Source organism: Homo sapiens, chromosome 1, assembly GCF_000001405.40.
Source record: "Homo sapiens chromosome 1, GRCh38.p14 Primary Assembly".
In the NCBI taxonomy this organism is placed as follows: Eukaryota; Metazoa; Chordata; class Mammalia; order Primates; family Hominidae; genus Homo; species Homo sapiens.
This window is the reverse complement of record NC_000001.11, coordinates 21,101,037-21,116,629: the sequence shown is the minus strand read 5'-3', so window position 1 is coordinate 21,116,629 and position 15,593 is coordinate 21,101,037. Positions and strand designations below refer to the sequence as shown.

At 38.7% G+C, this 15,593-nt stretch overlaps 1 protein-coding gene across 63 annotated transcripts in view; it reads left to right on the top strand.

Annotated features, from left to right (window-relative positions):
* EIF4G3 (eukaryotic translation initiation factor 4 gamma 3) overlaps positions 1 to 15,593 on the top strand; it is a 370,606-nt gene that overhangs the window by 60,268 nt on the left and 294,745 nt on the right. For 38 of the 63 annotated variants that reach the window (XM_047433321.1, NM_001391894.1, NM_001391905.1 and 35 more), the window contains one exon: positions 5,247 to 5,307. The exons of the other annotated variants lie outside the window; for them this stretch is intronic. The gene's annotated coding sequence lies outside the window, so the exon portion shown is untranslated. Of the gene's footprint in view, positions 1 to 5,246; positions 5,308 to 15,593 lie in introns of those variants that run through there. 63 annotated transcript variants of the gene reach the window in all.

The following is a 15,593-nucleotide window of genomic DNA, read 5'->3' as shown; positions in this document are numbered from 1 at the left end:
CTGACCCTGTGATCCGCACCCCCCTCAGCCTCCCAAAGTGCTGGGATTACAGGTGTGAGCCGCCGCGCCTGGCCTGTATTTTGATATTTTAAACGAGATTTTGGAGGATTTTGTTGATCCTAATATCCGAATCTGTGTCTTATTTATGGTTATTTTATTTTCTCATTTGTCTCAAATTTCCCTCCTAGACAAGTCATTTGTTAAGATAAACCTAGTGAGTACCCTTGATTACCCTTGATGTTACATGGTTTCTGCTGGAAAGTATCAAATAGAACTTTCAAAATTGTATTTAACAATCTCAATATTAAACAAGCTGATATACTAAATTTTTAGATACTAAAGCTTGGTTGTCACATATTCTAAGAAGGGAATATAATGTATTACACATGGTGAAAATTTATTTCAGATATGTTATATGGACTGTTGTACAAATACAGGATTGAAGTCTGAGAAATTTTCTGTTATTCTGTCATTAATTCAGCTGCTATTGAAGTATTGTACCTCATTTTGACCTTTATTATTAGACGATTGCTCTTAGAGCTCATAATAGTAGCAGTGGTTTGTTGTATGCCTACAATATACAAGGCCCTGGGTATCCTTTAAATTGTCTGGGCACAGTGGCTCACACCTGTAATCGTAGCACTTTGGGAGGCTGAGGCAAGAGGATTGGTTAAGGCCAGGAGTTCTAGACCAACCCGGGTAACAAGATGAGACTCCTGTCTCTACAAAAAATTTAAAAAAAAATTAGCTGGGCATGGTGGTCCCTACCTGTATATTCCTAGATACTTGGGAGACTGAGGCAGGAGGACCGTTTGAGCCCAGGAGTTCACGGGTGCAATAAGCTGTGATCGTGCCATTGCATCCTGCCTGGGCAACAAAGTGAGACTCTGTTTCTTTAAAAACAACAACAACAACAACAACAAATTATTCTAATAAATCGTCTCATTTAACTGTATACAGAGAGCTGTATATCAGCTCTCTGAAGTAGTACACATTTTTTTTCCCCTTCATTTTGCAGGTGAAGAAACAATCTTATACAGACACATTTCACTTTATTTCACCTCAGTCTGTTGCACTTCACAGATAACTTGTTTGTTTGTTTCCTAACAAATTTAAGGTTTGTGGCAACTGAATGAAGCAAAGCTTTTGGCATCATTTTCAACAGCATGTGCTCACTTCATGTCTCTTTATAATTCTTTTTAGTGATCTTTGATCTTACTATTGTAATTGTTTTGAGGTGCCATGCTCATGTAATAAGGAAAACCTAGTAAAAAATACTGTGTGCTGATTGCTCCACTGAAAGGCCATTCCCCTCTCTCCCCATGGACCTTGCTCTTTCCTGAGATATATTGAAATTAGGCCAATAACCCTGCAGTGTCCTCTGTGGGTCATGTGAAAGGAAGGGTTACATGTCTCACTTTACAATAGCTAGAAATGATTAAGCTTTGCAAGGAACGTGTTAGCCAAGTTGTGAATGCAAAGGAAAAGTTTTTGAAGGAAATTAAAAGGGCTGCTCCAGTGAACACATGATAAGATTATACTAAGATATTTTTTGCCCTTATTTTGTATACATTTTCGCCAACTGTGAAAATGTAAACTGTAATTGTAAATTAAAAAAAGGTTTTTTTCCGTAGAGATGGGGTCTTACCATGTTGCCCAGGTTGGTCTAGAACTCCTGGCCTTAAGTGTTCCTTTTGCCTCAGCCTCTCAAAATGCTAGGATTACAGGCATAAGCAAAGTGACTTGCACAATTGATTTGCTGCTGGCACCTTAGCACAAATCAAGGTTAGTGGTACCAAACCGAGCTAATAATAACGATTGAGTTTTTCCCCAACATGCACATTGAAAACAAACAAAATGTCAGTTTTACTTTTCACTTAATATCTTTGATGAAACAGCAAAAAAAATTTTTTTTATTAAGTGTTGGCCTTCGAATATACATCTTCTTAATATTCTGTGTGATAAAATGGGAAGTACACATAAAGCAGTTCTGTTGCATAATTGTCCAACAGTGGTCTTAATGAATAACACTTGTGTGAGTGAGTGGCAAGCCGAAATGGCTTTTTTCAAGCATCACCATTTTGAAATGATAAACTGGTTATTTATGCTTGGATATTTTCCAGATAAATTATCAAAAATAGATGACTGTGCTTGTGATTTCAAGGAAAACTGTTGCCAGTGGTAAAATTACAGCTTTCAAGGGCCGGGCACGGTGGCTCACGCCTGTAATCCCAGCACTTTGGGAGGCCGAGGCGGGTGGATCGAGAACATCCTGGCCAACATGGTGAAACCCCGTCTCTACTAAAAATACAAAGAGTAGCTGGGCATGGTGGCATGCACCTGTAGTCCCAGCTACTCGGGAGGCTGAGGCAGGAGAATGGCTTGAACCCGGGAGGCGGAGGTTTCAGTGAGGCGAGATCGCGCCACTGCACTCCAGCCTGGCAACAGAGCGAGACTCGTCTCAAGGAAAAAAAAAAAAAAGTACAGCTTTCAAGTGAAAATTAGAATTTTGGACAGTTGTATCCACCACCATGAACTTGACAACTTTCCAATACTTAATAGACTTTTCTGATGAGATCAGTAGCGATATGAACAGATAAGATTTAAAAAAATTGAGACAGGGCCTCACTGTATCACTCTGGCTGGAGTGTAGTGCTGTGATCATGGCTCATTGCAGCCTCAACCTCCTGGGCTCAGGTATTCTTGCCACTTCAACCTCCCAAGTAGCTGGGAATACAGGCATGTGCCACCACATCCAGCTAATTTTTTGTATTTTTTGAAGAGACGGGGTTTTACCATGTTGCTCAGGATAGTCTCAAACTCTTGGCTCAAGGGATCCTCCTGCCTCAGCCTCCCAAAGTACTGGGATTACAAGTCATGAGCCACTTTGCCTGGCCCAGATAAGATTTTTGATACTGTACAATGAAATGTGTCAAGGAAGACCTGTATAACAGTGCACCAGTATTTTCCAGGTGACCAATGAATGATGTTACAAAATCATGGACAGGTGAAAGATATATTTAAAATGCAGTATAGACCAGTTGATTTTACTGTAACAGCACATGGAAAGTTGATTCATTTGGTTTTAGATTAGAAATTTCACCTAAGTTTTAAAAACTATCACTCATTGAATTTTGGTGTAATTAAAAAAAAAGCCCAATATTTAGGAAAGAGTGTTAAAATACTCTTCTTTTTTCCTGGTCTAAGACCAGGTTTTTTCCACAGACTTCAAAATAACATGTAACAGATTAAATGCAGAAGCACATGTAAGAATTCATTCTTCTGTCTGAATCCATTTGATAGAATTTAAAAAAAAAATCATTCAGCCTAAGAAAGCTTATTAAAAAAAGAAAACAAGAATTCAGCTGGTCTACCATTAAACCAGACATGAAAGTGATTTGCAAAAAATGTACAGTGCTACTCTTCTCCCTGCATTAAAAAACATTACATAGCTCTTTTTTTTTTTTTTTTTTTTTTTTTTTTGAGATAGGGCCTCTATCAGCCAGGCCGGAGTACAGTGGTGCAATCATAGCTCACTGCAGCTTCGACTCCTGGGCTCAAGCCATTCTCAGCCTCCCAAAGTGCTGGGATTACAGGCATGAGCCACTGCACTCAGCCCTTTTTCTAAATATTTATATGTTTCTGATTTTTACCACTCACATTTATTTTAAAGTCTTTATAAGTTGGCTATCTTTGAGAAATGGCATTTGATTTTTCAAAACTTTTTTTGGTAGAGTTTTAAATTTGGACTTACGATACTGGATAAGTAGTGATTAGATTGTGCTGAAATTTATGGAAGAAAGTCACTTTGAGTATGCCCCTTCTACATAAGAACATAGAATGTGCTGAAAAGCTTTCTATTTGAGAATATTTTTATTATAACATGCTTTCCTTTAGGCGTTTTATTTTGAAATGAAATGCTGCTGAATGCTATAAGAAAGAAAACATCTTTGTGGGAATTGGGTATATCTAGAATGAGAAAGTAAAATATTGCCTGTAGAATTTTTATACCTCAGAAAAACCAAATAAAGTAACATTGACTTCACATGGGTATCCATCTTAAGAAATTATGTTTAGAGTTTTGATAGTTTGTAGGATTTTTTTTTCTCAGTAAGGGCATTTTAATTGAATTTAGGAAGTAAATTATAAATGATGTAAAAGTTTGTATTCTTCCTGTTAATGTTATAACCAAAAGCTAAAAGATAATGTAGTTCACTGTTTTGCTTAGTGATCAAAAATTTTATTTTGTTTATTCATTGCTGTTCACTGGAAGACCTGCTGTCTTGGGTGGCTCTGAGTGGGGTGAGATTGACTTGTAGAATGGTTTTCAACTCTTACTGGTTGTGAATTTACAAATACAGGTAGTGAGGAAAAGTTTTTCCAGTGTACTCTGATATTATTGAGAATGATGACTACAGGATGAAGGAAGAGAATTATATTTTCTGAGTGGTGGTAGCTAATATTTTATGTTACTGTTGATAACCATCAGATCATTCTTCTTTAAGGGGAAAAATAGACTTAATTAAAAAGTGTAAGTGGAGGCCTTTGGAGAAGAGTCTTGCTAATAAAGGGGGTAATGATTTTTTCCATAATTTTCCTTCATAGCTGGCATGGTGAGAACAAGTATATTTAATAAACTAGATCTTTGGCCTGTGACAATTGGGTGAATTAATTTGGCTAATGACACTAGTCATCTAGATGTAAGAAAAGCAGTTTTCTCTCTGACCCTTCTGTGAAAAATACTTTGAGCAGAGAACTGTTATTATTCTGTAGTTGATAAGCTGCTCACCTTGGGAATAGCTGTTAAATCAGAATTAACAGCTTTCATGGCAGAGAGACATTCTTTCAGGAAGTGAATAAATGCATGTAAAAGTTCACCATGCAAAGTAGCAAAAGTCAATCAGTATCTTTCAGAATTTTGTCAAATGTGTAGCAGATTGCATTCTTTTTAGTTTCTTTTTTGTATGTCATGATATGTATATATCTATCTCACATGCTCCCACGGACCTACTTTTCCTTGTAATAATATTTTATTGTAGCTTTTCTAAGCTCTAAAGAATGAAGTTAGGAGATCCGTTGGTGCTCTTAATTAGGAATCTGGGAGAGATGTCTTAAAGGCTGTGTCACCTGGATAGTCCACGGAAAGGAAAACTCATGATCTTTATGGAAGAGCTATGTATAATAATGAAATACTGCTTAGTATGTGCTAAGCCCATCATAAGCCTTATTTTGCTAATTCTTTCCAGCAATCCCACAGAGTATTGATGAGGAAACTGAAGTTTGGAGCGATCACATCATTTTCCCAAGGTAATCTAGCTGGCAAACGAATCTAGGATTCAAATTTTTGTCTTTTCCAGCTTCAAAGTCTATGCCTTCGTAGAGTGCCACTTGTTAGTACTCAGGAATGTGCAACACATTCTAAAAGCAACAGAAATTGTTCATTTTGTCCTGAAATGTATCCTGTGTTTACATTCAGTGACAGATTAAGTTTATAGCCCATGTAATTAAATTTTCATTGTCTCATTTAATAAGAGCCTGAAAGTTCCTTTTCTGTACATATTTTCCTGAAAGATAAATTATCTAAGATTAGTTCAAAGTACAGTCTTAGATGAACTACTTGTATTAGTGTTTTATGTTCTTCATAGTTTAACAGAGAAAGTCAAGTGTTTTGGCATAGATTGGATGCAGACATTAAGGAAGAAACAAAAGTGTTTATTAGTTGCAATGGTTGAATAATACAGTATTTTCAAAAAGTTACTCTGGGTCTGGGCGCAGTGGCTCACGCCTATAATCCTAGCACTTTGGGACGCTGAGGTGGGTGGATGACCTGAGGTCAGGAGTTTGAGACCAGCCTGGCCAACATGGTGAAACCCTGTCTCTACTAAAAATACAAAAAAAGGCTGGGCGTGGTGCCTCACACCTGTAATCCCAAGCACTTTGGGAGGCTGAGGTGGGTGGATCACCTGAGGTCAGGAGTTCGAGACCAGTCTGACCAATATGGTGAAACTCCATCTCTACTAAAAATACAAAAATTAGGCCAGGCGTGGTGGCTCACACCTGTAATCCTAGCACTTTGGAAGGCCGAGGTGGGCGAATTGCCTGAGCTCAGGAGTTCAAGATCAGGCTGGGTAACATGGTGAAATCCCGTCTCTACTAAAATACAAAAAATTAGCTGGGCGTGGCGATGTGCTCCTGTAATCCCAGCTACTCAGAGGCTGAGACAGGAGAATTACTTCAACCTGGGAGGTGGAGGTTGCAGTGAGCCGCGATTGCGTCACTGCACTCCAGCCTAGGCAACAGAGCGAGACTCCGTCTTAAAAAAAAAAAAAGAGAAAACGTTACTCTGAAACCTGTGCTGAATTATAGCATTTAGATGCTGAAATAAGAGCTCCCTGTAGAATGTTGGTTAGATTTGAATATGAATTTACCTGCCTTGTCATCAAATTATCCTTTTAAGAAATTAAAAAAATATAGAAGTTATCCTTATGATTGTGCACATTTATATTTCACTTTACTTTAAAGTTTCTACTTTACAATTTGTTGGCCGGGTGTGGCGGCTCATGCCTGTAATCCTAGCACTTTGGGAGGCTGAGGCAGGTGGATCACTTGAGGTCAAGAGTTTGAGACCAGCCTGGTCAACATAGCGAAACGTTTCCATCTCTACCCAAAATACAAAAATTAGCTGGGTATGGTGGCATGCACCTGTAATCCCAGCTACTTGGGTGGCTGAGGCGGGAGAATCGCTTGAACCTAGACGGGGGAGGTTGCAGTGAGCCAAGATCATACCACTGCACTGCAGCCTGGGTGTCGGAGTGAGATTCTATCCCAAAAATAAAAAATTTGTTACAGTCTCTGTTGAAATGGGCCATACACTTCATTTCAGTGTTGTGTTAGTCCTCAAAAATTAGCAATAATTCCTAGAGGAACTGCTACATTCAGATGCTTCCTCTGTTCCTTACATTAAAAATTGGGAAATACATAAATTATACTGTGGCCACCAGGAAACTCTGGAACAAATTAATGGCCCAAGTTTTTGCAATATTGTAGGAATTTATAGACTGCTAGTCTTTGTCTTATTTACTTATTTACTTTCATTTAAATATTCTTTTTCTTCTTGTTGTTGTTTCTTTTATACTTATTTTAATTTTACAGAGACAAAGTCTTGCTAGGTTGCCTGTGCTCGTCTGGAACTCCTGGGCTCAAGCGATCCTCCTGCTTCAGCCTCCCAAAGTGTTAGGATTACAGGCATGAGCCACCATGTCCAGTCCCATTTAAATATTCTATTATTTGTGTTTTTTGTAAGCTATCTCAGATCCATTGTGGAATAAAGCAAGACATAAAATAGTGGAAAAATAAACATCATGAGCAGGGCTGAAACAAAGTAAGGGTACAAAACCCTTGTAGCTTTTTCCTTGAGACAGTCTTGCTCAGTTGCCCAGGCTGGAGTGCGGTGCTGTGATCTCAGCTCACTGCAACCTCTGTCTGCCAGGTTCAAGCAATTGTTGTGCGTCAGCCTACTGAGTAGCTGGGATTACAGATGTGCACCACTATGCCCAGCTAATTTTTGTATTTTTAGTAGAGATGGGGTTTCTTCATGTTGGCCAAACTGGCCTCAAACTCTTTGCCTCATGCGATCCACCCGCCTCATCCTCCCAAAATGCTGGGATTTACAGGCATTGAGCCACCACACCTGGCCCCTTGTAGTTTTTTTTTTTTTTTTTTTTTTTGAGATGGAGTCTCACTCTGTCGCCCAGTCTGGAGTGCAGTGGCGCGATCTCAGCTCACTGCGACCTCTGTCTCCCGGGTTGAAGTGATTCTCCTGCCTCAGCCTCCTGAGTAGCTGGGATTACAGGCATGTGTCACCACACCCAGCTAATTTTTGTATTTTAGTAGAGACGGGGTTTTGCCATGTTGGCCAGACTGGTCTCGAACACCTGAGCTCAGGTAATCTGCTTGCCTTGGCCTCCCGAAGTGCTGGGATTACAGGTGTCAGCCACCACACCTGGCCTCTTGTAGTTTTAAAAGATAAAACATTAATTTCTTTAACATCTTTAAGCATTTATATTAGTCCTTATATTTAAGCCTTCATATTCAGAAAATAATGAAATGAAATACCTTACTAAACTTAATAGCGTCCTACACTGGAAGGATGTAATAGAGTAAAATTGACAACCCGTTTTATCAACATTCCCCTCCTTTCTCCATTGTCTAGTAATCTTACTAATGATGAGTGAAAAGACAATAGAAGTAGTTATACATGTTTATATATATTACATATAAATATGTACAGTAGTTTATATGTAATACAGGGAATTGATTTCTGAATAATAGGGTTGATTGTACATCTGTTTTATATACCTAGCTTATTTTAGACCTTCCTCATGGATATTACCTAAGAGATGGTTTCTTAGCAAGTGGTCAGATTTTCTTTGTTTATTCTTTCAAAGATTGTATTTTTTGTTTGTTTCTTTGAGACAGGGCCTTGCTATGTGCAGTGGTTAGAGTGCCCAGGCTGGAGTGCAGTGGTGTGATCTCAACACTGCATCCTCTGCCTCCCAGGCTTAAGCGATCCTTCCGCTTCAATCTCCTAAGTAGCTGGGACTACAGGTGTGCGCCACTGCGCCTGGCTAATTTTGTTATTATTTGTAGAGATGAGTTCTCCTTGTGTTGCCCAGGCTGGTCTTGAATTCCTGGGCTCAAGCAGTCCTCCTGCCTTGGCCTCCCAAAGTTCTGGGATCGCAGGCACAAGCCAACCTGGCCAAAAAAGAATTGTTATAACTTGTATAAGCTGGGCATGGTGGCACGTGTCTGTAGTCCCAGCTACTCGGGAGGCTGAAGCAGGAGAATTGCTTGAGTCGGGGCAGTTGAGGCTGCAGTGAGCCATGATTGTACCACTTCACTCCAGCCTGGGTGACAGCATGAGATCCTGTTTCAAACAAGAAGAAAAACAGAAATCAAATAACTTGTATGAATAGCTGTAATGCTCACACTAATAGTATCACTTGTTTCATTAATAAAACTTTATACATTGGACAGACCTATTAAGATTATAGCTAACTTGTGGAGACCCCTGCTCTGGAACCTCAGAACTCATCTCTTAGCCAATACAACTTGTGACTGTAAATGCTAAGCTATTTTTAAAAATTGGATAGTTTTCAGGTTGGGCCCGGTAGCTCATTCCTGTCATCCCAGCACTTTGGGAAGCTGAGGCGGGCAGATCACTTGAGGTCAGGAGTTTGAGACCAGCCTGGCCAACATGGCCAGTCTTTACTAAAAATACAAAAAAATTAGCTGGGCATGGTGGTACACGCCTGTAGTCCCAGTTTTTAAGGAGGCTGAGGCAGGAGAATTGCTTGAATTAAGAGGCAGAGGTTGCAGCGAGCCAAGATGGTGCCACTGCATTCCAGTCTGGGTGATAGAGTAAGACTCCATCTCAATAAGTAAATAATAAAATCAAAAATTGGATAGTTTTCTAAATAACCACTATGATAGTAACATTTATTGAGCTTTCCTATCTGCCAGACAGTGTTAGATGCTCTGAATATATTATTTCTGTTCCAGGAGAGAGTTTGCATTTTCCCATACTTTTTTTGTTTTAAATGCTGAAAGAAATTTTAGCAATATATTGTATAGAGTACAGTAGCCCACGTGGTGTAAAACTTGATTCTCTGGTTTTCTGTAGGGCTGATAGGTAAGTTGCCCTTGTCCTGATGTGTCAACAGTAGAGTGTAAAGTGTGAAGAGTATTTTGAATACAATAGTCATTTCTGTGAATGGCTACCGTAACATCTGTTGGTTTTCCTCCAACCTCAGTGGCCACTTCTCTGCAAGTTGCTTTACTAATTCCTCCTTTGTCTTATTGTCAGGTGCTTTACCTTCTTCCTTTTTTTAATTTTTTAATTTTTTTTGGCATTAAATGCTATTTTTATGTTCATTACTTTCAAATTTGTATCTTTGGATGAGAGTTCTAGCCTGAATTGCATATTCATATATTCACTTTGTGTATTTACATCTCCTCCTGGATTTTTCATAGGCATTTCAGAATTTTTATGCTCAAAATAAAACTTTTGATTTCCTTTCTACTTCTATTTCAACTTGTTCCTTTCCAGTTTTGGCGAGTAGTACTGCTGTCTGCCTAACTACTCAAGATACACTATCTGTAAACTATTCTTGGTTATTCCTTTCCTTCATGCCTCTTATGCAATAGCTATTCCCCTTGGTTTTACTATCTAAACTAGTCCTTTTCTCGCCATTCATTTCTGTTATCCTACTGTCTTCTAGGCCACTACCTTTTATTTGGACAACTGCTATAATCTCTCAGCTTTTTTTCTTTCCTCTCTTACCCTTCTCAGGTTTATTTTTTATAAAAAATGAATGGTCTTTAACAGTGCTATTATGGATCTCCTCTGTTTAAATTCTCCCATTGTCGCCTGTTAAAAGAATTCATACTGCTTACCAGGCCCTACAAGCCTCTCAGTGATGTAGCTTCTGCTTAAATTTCCAAACTCTAATTGCTACTCTCAGCATAGCTCCCTTGATCCTTTAACAAAAAAAAAAAAAAAAAGAGACAGGGTCTTGCTCTGTCACTTAGGCTGGAGTGCAGTGGCACATTCATAGCTCACTGTAACCTTGAACTCCTTGGCTCAGGCGACCCTTCTGCCTCAGCTTCCTGGGTAGCTAGGACTACAGGCACATGCGACCATGCCCAGCTAATTTTTTATTTGTATTTTTGTAGAGATGAGTTCTTGACAAGTTGCCCAGGCTGGCCTCGAACTCCTAGCCTCAACCAGTCCTCCTACATTGGCCTTCCAAAGTGCTGGGATTATAGGAGTGAGTCTCTGTGCCCAACCACTCTTATCATCCTTGATCACAGCTGTTTCCCACCTAAAACCTGTACCCCAGATGCCTACCTTCCTGGAATGTTCTTTCCCTTTCTCTTCATAGGATGGGCTTATTTGTATTACTCAGATTTCAATTCAGAAATTACTTCTACTTTATCTAGAATACTATTACCTTCCTCTCATGTCATTTAAAAAAGTTTTCTTCATACCATTTTCACTATTTTATTTTTTATGTATTTTATTTAATCTTAAAAAAACATATTTTAGGTTCAGGGGTATATATGCAGGTTTGTTTATATAGATAAATTGCATGTCATGGTGGGGGTTTGGTGTACAGATTTTTTTTTTTTCTTTTTTTTTTAAGACGGAGTTTCACTCGTTGCATAGGCTGGAGTGCAATGGCGCAATCGCGGCTCACTGCAACCTCCACCTCCCAGGTTCAAGTTATTCTCCTGCCTCAGCCACCTGAGTAGCTGGGATTACAGGCTTGCGCCACCACCTATGGCTAATTTTTGTATTTTTTGTTTTTAGTAGAAATGCGGTTTCACCACGTTGGCCAGGCTGGTCTTGAACTCCTGACCTCAGATGATCTGCCTGCCTTGGCCTCCCAAAGTGCTGGTATTACAGGCGTGAGCCAACGCACCTGACCTGTACAGATTATTTTATCACCCAGGTAATAAGCATAGTACTTGATAGGTAGTTTTTCAACCCTCACTCTCCACTCACACTTCACCCTCAAGTAGACCTTGCTGTCTATTGTTCCCTTCTTTGTGTCAATGCGTACTCAATTTTTAGCTCCCACTTGTGAGAACATGCAGTATTTGGTTTTCTGTTCCTTCATTAGTTGTCTTAGGATGACTTTCAGCTCCATCCATGTTGCTGCAAAGGACATGATCTCATTTTTTTTTTATGGGCGTGTAGTATTTCATGGTGTATATATACCACATTTTCTTTAGTCTACCATTGAAGGGCATTTAGGTTGGTTGTATGTCTTTGCTATTGTGAATAGTGCTATGACAAACATACCTGTGCATGTGTCTTTTTAGTAGAACGATTTATATTCCTTTGGGTATATACCCAATAATGGGATTGCTGGGTCAAATGGTTTAAGTTCTTTGAGAAATTGGTAAACTGCTTTTCACAATGGCTGAAGTAATTTACATTTCCACACTAGCAGTATATAAGCATTCCCTTTGCTCCGCAACATAGTCAGCCTCTGTTATTTTTTGACTTTTTAATAATGGCCATCGTGACTGGTATAAGGTAGTATCTCATTGTGGTTTTGATTTGCATTTCTCTAATGATTAGTTATGTGGAGCATTTTTTCATATGCTTGTTGGCCATGTATATGTCTTCTTTAGAAAAGTGTTTGTTCATGTTCTTTGCCCACTTTATAATTTTTCCTATTTTAATTGTCTCATTTGTTTACTGACTTTTGGTCTGTTTGCTCCCAATAGAATGTAAGTGCCACAAGTTGTTTGGTTTAGTACTTTGTAGCTACTCATAAAATATTTGTTGAGGATGGATGAATGAAGAAGGATGTTACTAGTGCTTTCAAGAAGACTTTTAAGCATTTGTCTTTCTAGTACCACTTTCCTGCTCATGATCATATCATATTACTTCTAGTTTGAGGGCCAGAAAGGGGAATTAACAGATTGAATGTCATGTAGCCGGCATTGTTCAGAGTATTTCATGTAGGGATTTAGTTAATACTCAGAGCAATTTATGGCTGTTTTTGCTATCACCATTTTATAATTGAGGAGCTAATACTTTGAGGTTAACTATGATTACACAGTTTACTAAGGGATAACGTTAGAAATGGAACCCAAGATTGTCTGACTCCAAGACCCCTGCAGCATGAAATGGTAAGGAATTCTGTGGACAAACTGCTATACGAACACAGAATTTTGGTCACTTAAAAAGGGAGAGATGTTTTTTTTTGTTCTGAGACAGAGTCTTGCTCTGTTGCCCAGGTTGGAGTGCAGTGGTGTGATCTTGGCTCACTGCAACCGCTGCCTCCCAGGTTCAAGCAATTCTCGTGCCTCAGCCTCCCAAGTAGCTGGGACTACAGACACATGCCACCACACTCGGCTAATTTTTGTATTTTTTGTAGAGATGAGGTTTCACCATGTTAGCCAGACTGGTCTTGAACTACTGGCCTCAGATGATCCACCCACCTTGGCCTCCCAAAGTGCTGGGATTATAGGCATGAGCCAGTGTGCCCAGCCTGGATCTTGTTTCTTCATTAATTTTTCCTCTTTCATTCTTCCACTGCTGTAAGTTTATCCTCATAGTCACCATTTACCCATTCATCTCCAGATAAAATGAATCACACTCAATATTCTCTAGGGCATTATTTATAATTTTATTTTATTTTTACAGTTCTCTTAAAACAGGATTTGTAGAAGTTAAGTGATATGGAGTAGGGAAGATTTAGGATTCCTTTTTGGTTGCCTCCTTGCCTCCTTGCTGTGTAAATAGTGAACATTTGGTGTAGGGGACTGGGTAGATGGTAATAGTCAAGAGTATGGAAGAGGGACAGGGAAAGTGAATAGAAAGCAGTATAGGAGTAGAGTTCAGCTGACCAGATGGACTGGGTTACCAGACTGCAATTTTTCAGTCTGTTATTATAGTACATTAAATCAAACAAATCACACCAATGCTTATATTAAAAGCATTAAGGAGCTTTAGTGAGACATTGTACTATGAGGAGATCCATGTGCTTTTACAAATATTATCAATTTAAAAAATACATCCAAATATTTCCCCCTTATAGTAACTTTGTCAGAATTAAAGCATAATATAGTTGGTTTCAATATAAATTTTTAGTACTAGTAAAGGTGGTTTAATAGGAAAGAGAATTGAAATGGAATATATTTGTGATCCTGTTCCTTTTGCTATGGATGGATACGTTAATTTTTTTCTCTTGACATTTGTTATTTTAATTTTTAAGTTATTACTTGAGGTTATAGAATAAAATTAAGAATTTGCTGCCATTATTACTGAATTAACATTTCACTGGACTATTGGCATATCAGAAATTGCTTTCATTATTGATGACTATAAAGAATACCTGGAGAGGAGGAAAAATAGGAGGATGGAGTGGAAGAGATGACAAGAGTCAAGGTGGTGGGAGGGTGTCAAATAATAAAGAAATTGTTCTAATTATTAAGAACCTAATCCTGAGTTTAAGCCATATGTATACTGTGTTTCAAATAATACCATCAAATTTTTATTAATGATGATTTTAAGAATGTCTCTTTAGCATTGTCCATTTATTAACATAGCACCATAAGTGCGTCATGGATGAATTTAATTAATGTTTGGTAACTTAAGGTTTGTGTTATCAGGTGTATTATATAACCATAGCATTTATAATTTGAAGTTGGCAGTCTGGTACAAAGTGTTGGGGGAAAATTGTTTTATTAGGTAAAAATCAGGGTTTGCAATCTGTGGCCCACTGGCTGGCTACCTGTTTTTATAAATAATTTTTGTATTTTTAATGGAGACGGGGTTTCACCATGGTGGCCAGGCTGGTCTCAAACTCCTGACCTCAGGTGATCAACCCACCTTGGCCTCCCAAAGTGGTGGGATTACAGACATGAGCCACTAAGCCCAGCCAGAAATACCTCCATTTTTAAAACTATTTCCTTTTTGGTGTTTGTCTTTTTTCCTCAGATAGCTTACCATATAAAACTGCAACATTCTTTAGTTGCTTTCTAGGCCTGAGAATTCACAGCATCTTAATTGGGCTTTGGTGCATGTTTCATAAATCTTCTCAAGCTTATCCCATTTTTTAATTTGTAATTTATGATTTCATTTATAAGTTTTTTGTATATAACTTATAACTTTAACAGATGGCCGAGCTCTCAAGTGTGATGAAAAGAAAGGTTTTTTTTGTTACCAGTTATACTCTGAAGGTCTGGGTGTACTTTATTGTAGTTCCCTGCCTGTGTTGCAGAATACAAATTATTTGATTCAAGAAAGTATTTATGATACGTTCTTGGACAATATAATGATGTAATAAATATAATAATAACATAAAGGTGAAATTTGTAGCTGTTTGATCAGTTTCACTCAAAGTGGTATTGATTACATTGATTTAAAGTTGGAGGAATGTCTGTTGGAATGAGTCCCTCCCTCCCACCCTCCCTTCCTTCCTTTCTTTCTTTGTTCCTTCCTTACTCCCTCCCTCCCTCGGTTTTTTTTTGTTGTTTTTTTTTTTTTCCTGAGACCCTGTTGCCCAGGCTAGAGTGTAGTGGTGCAATCTCGGCTCACTGCAACCTCTACCTCCTGGGTTCGAGTGATTCTACCACTTCAGCCTCCTGAGTAGCTTGGAATTACTGATGCCCACCACCATGTCTGGCTAACTTTTGTATTTTTTGGTAGAGACAGAGTTTTGCCACGTTGGCCAGGCTGGTCTTGAACTCCTGACCTCAAGTGATCTGCCCACCTCAGCCTCCCAAAGTGCCGAGTTTACTGGCGTGAGCCACCGTGCTCGGCCCTATTGCATATTTTATCCTGCAGTGATTTAAATTAAGATGAAATTCTTGACCAAGCACGGTGGCTCATGCCTGTAATCCCAGCACTTTGGGAGGATGTTTTTCATTGATAGTTAACCATGATTTTTCACTTTGTGAAGTTATTTTTACCGTTAAACTTTGATCTCTTTTTTATCTGAAAATACGTCGACTTATTTCTAGGTACCGTAACTAAATCTCTCCTTAGGTATATTGACAGTCTTCATCTGATT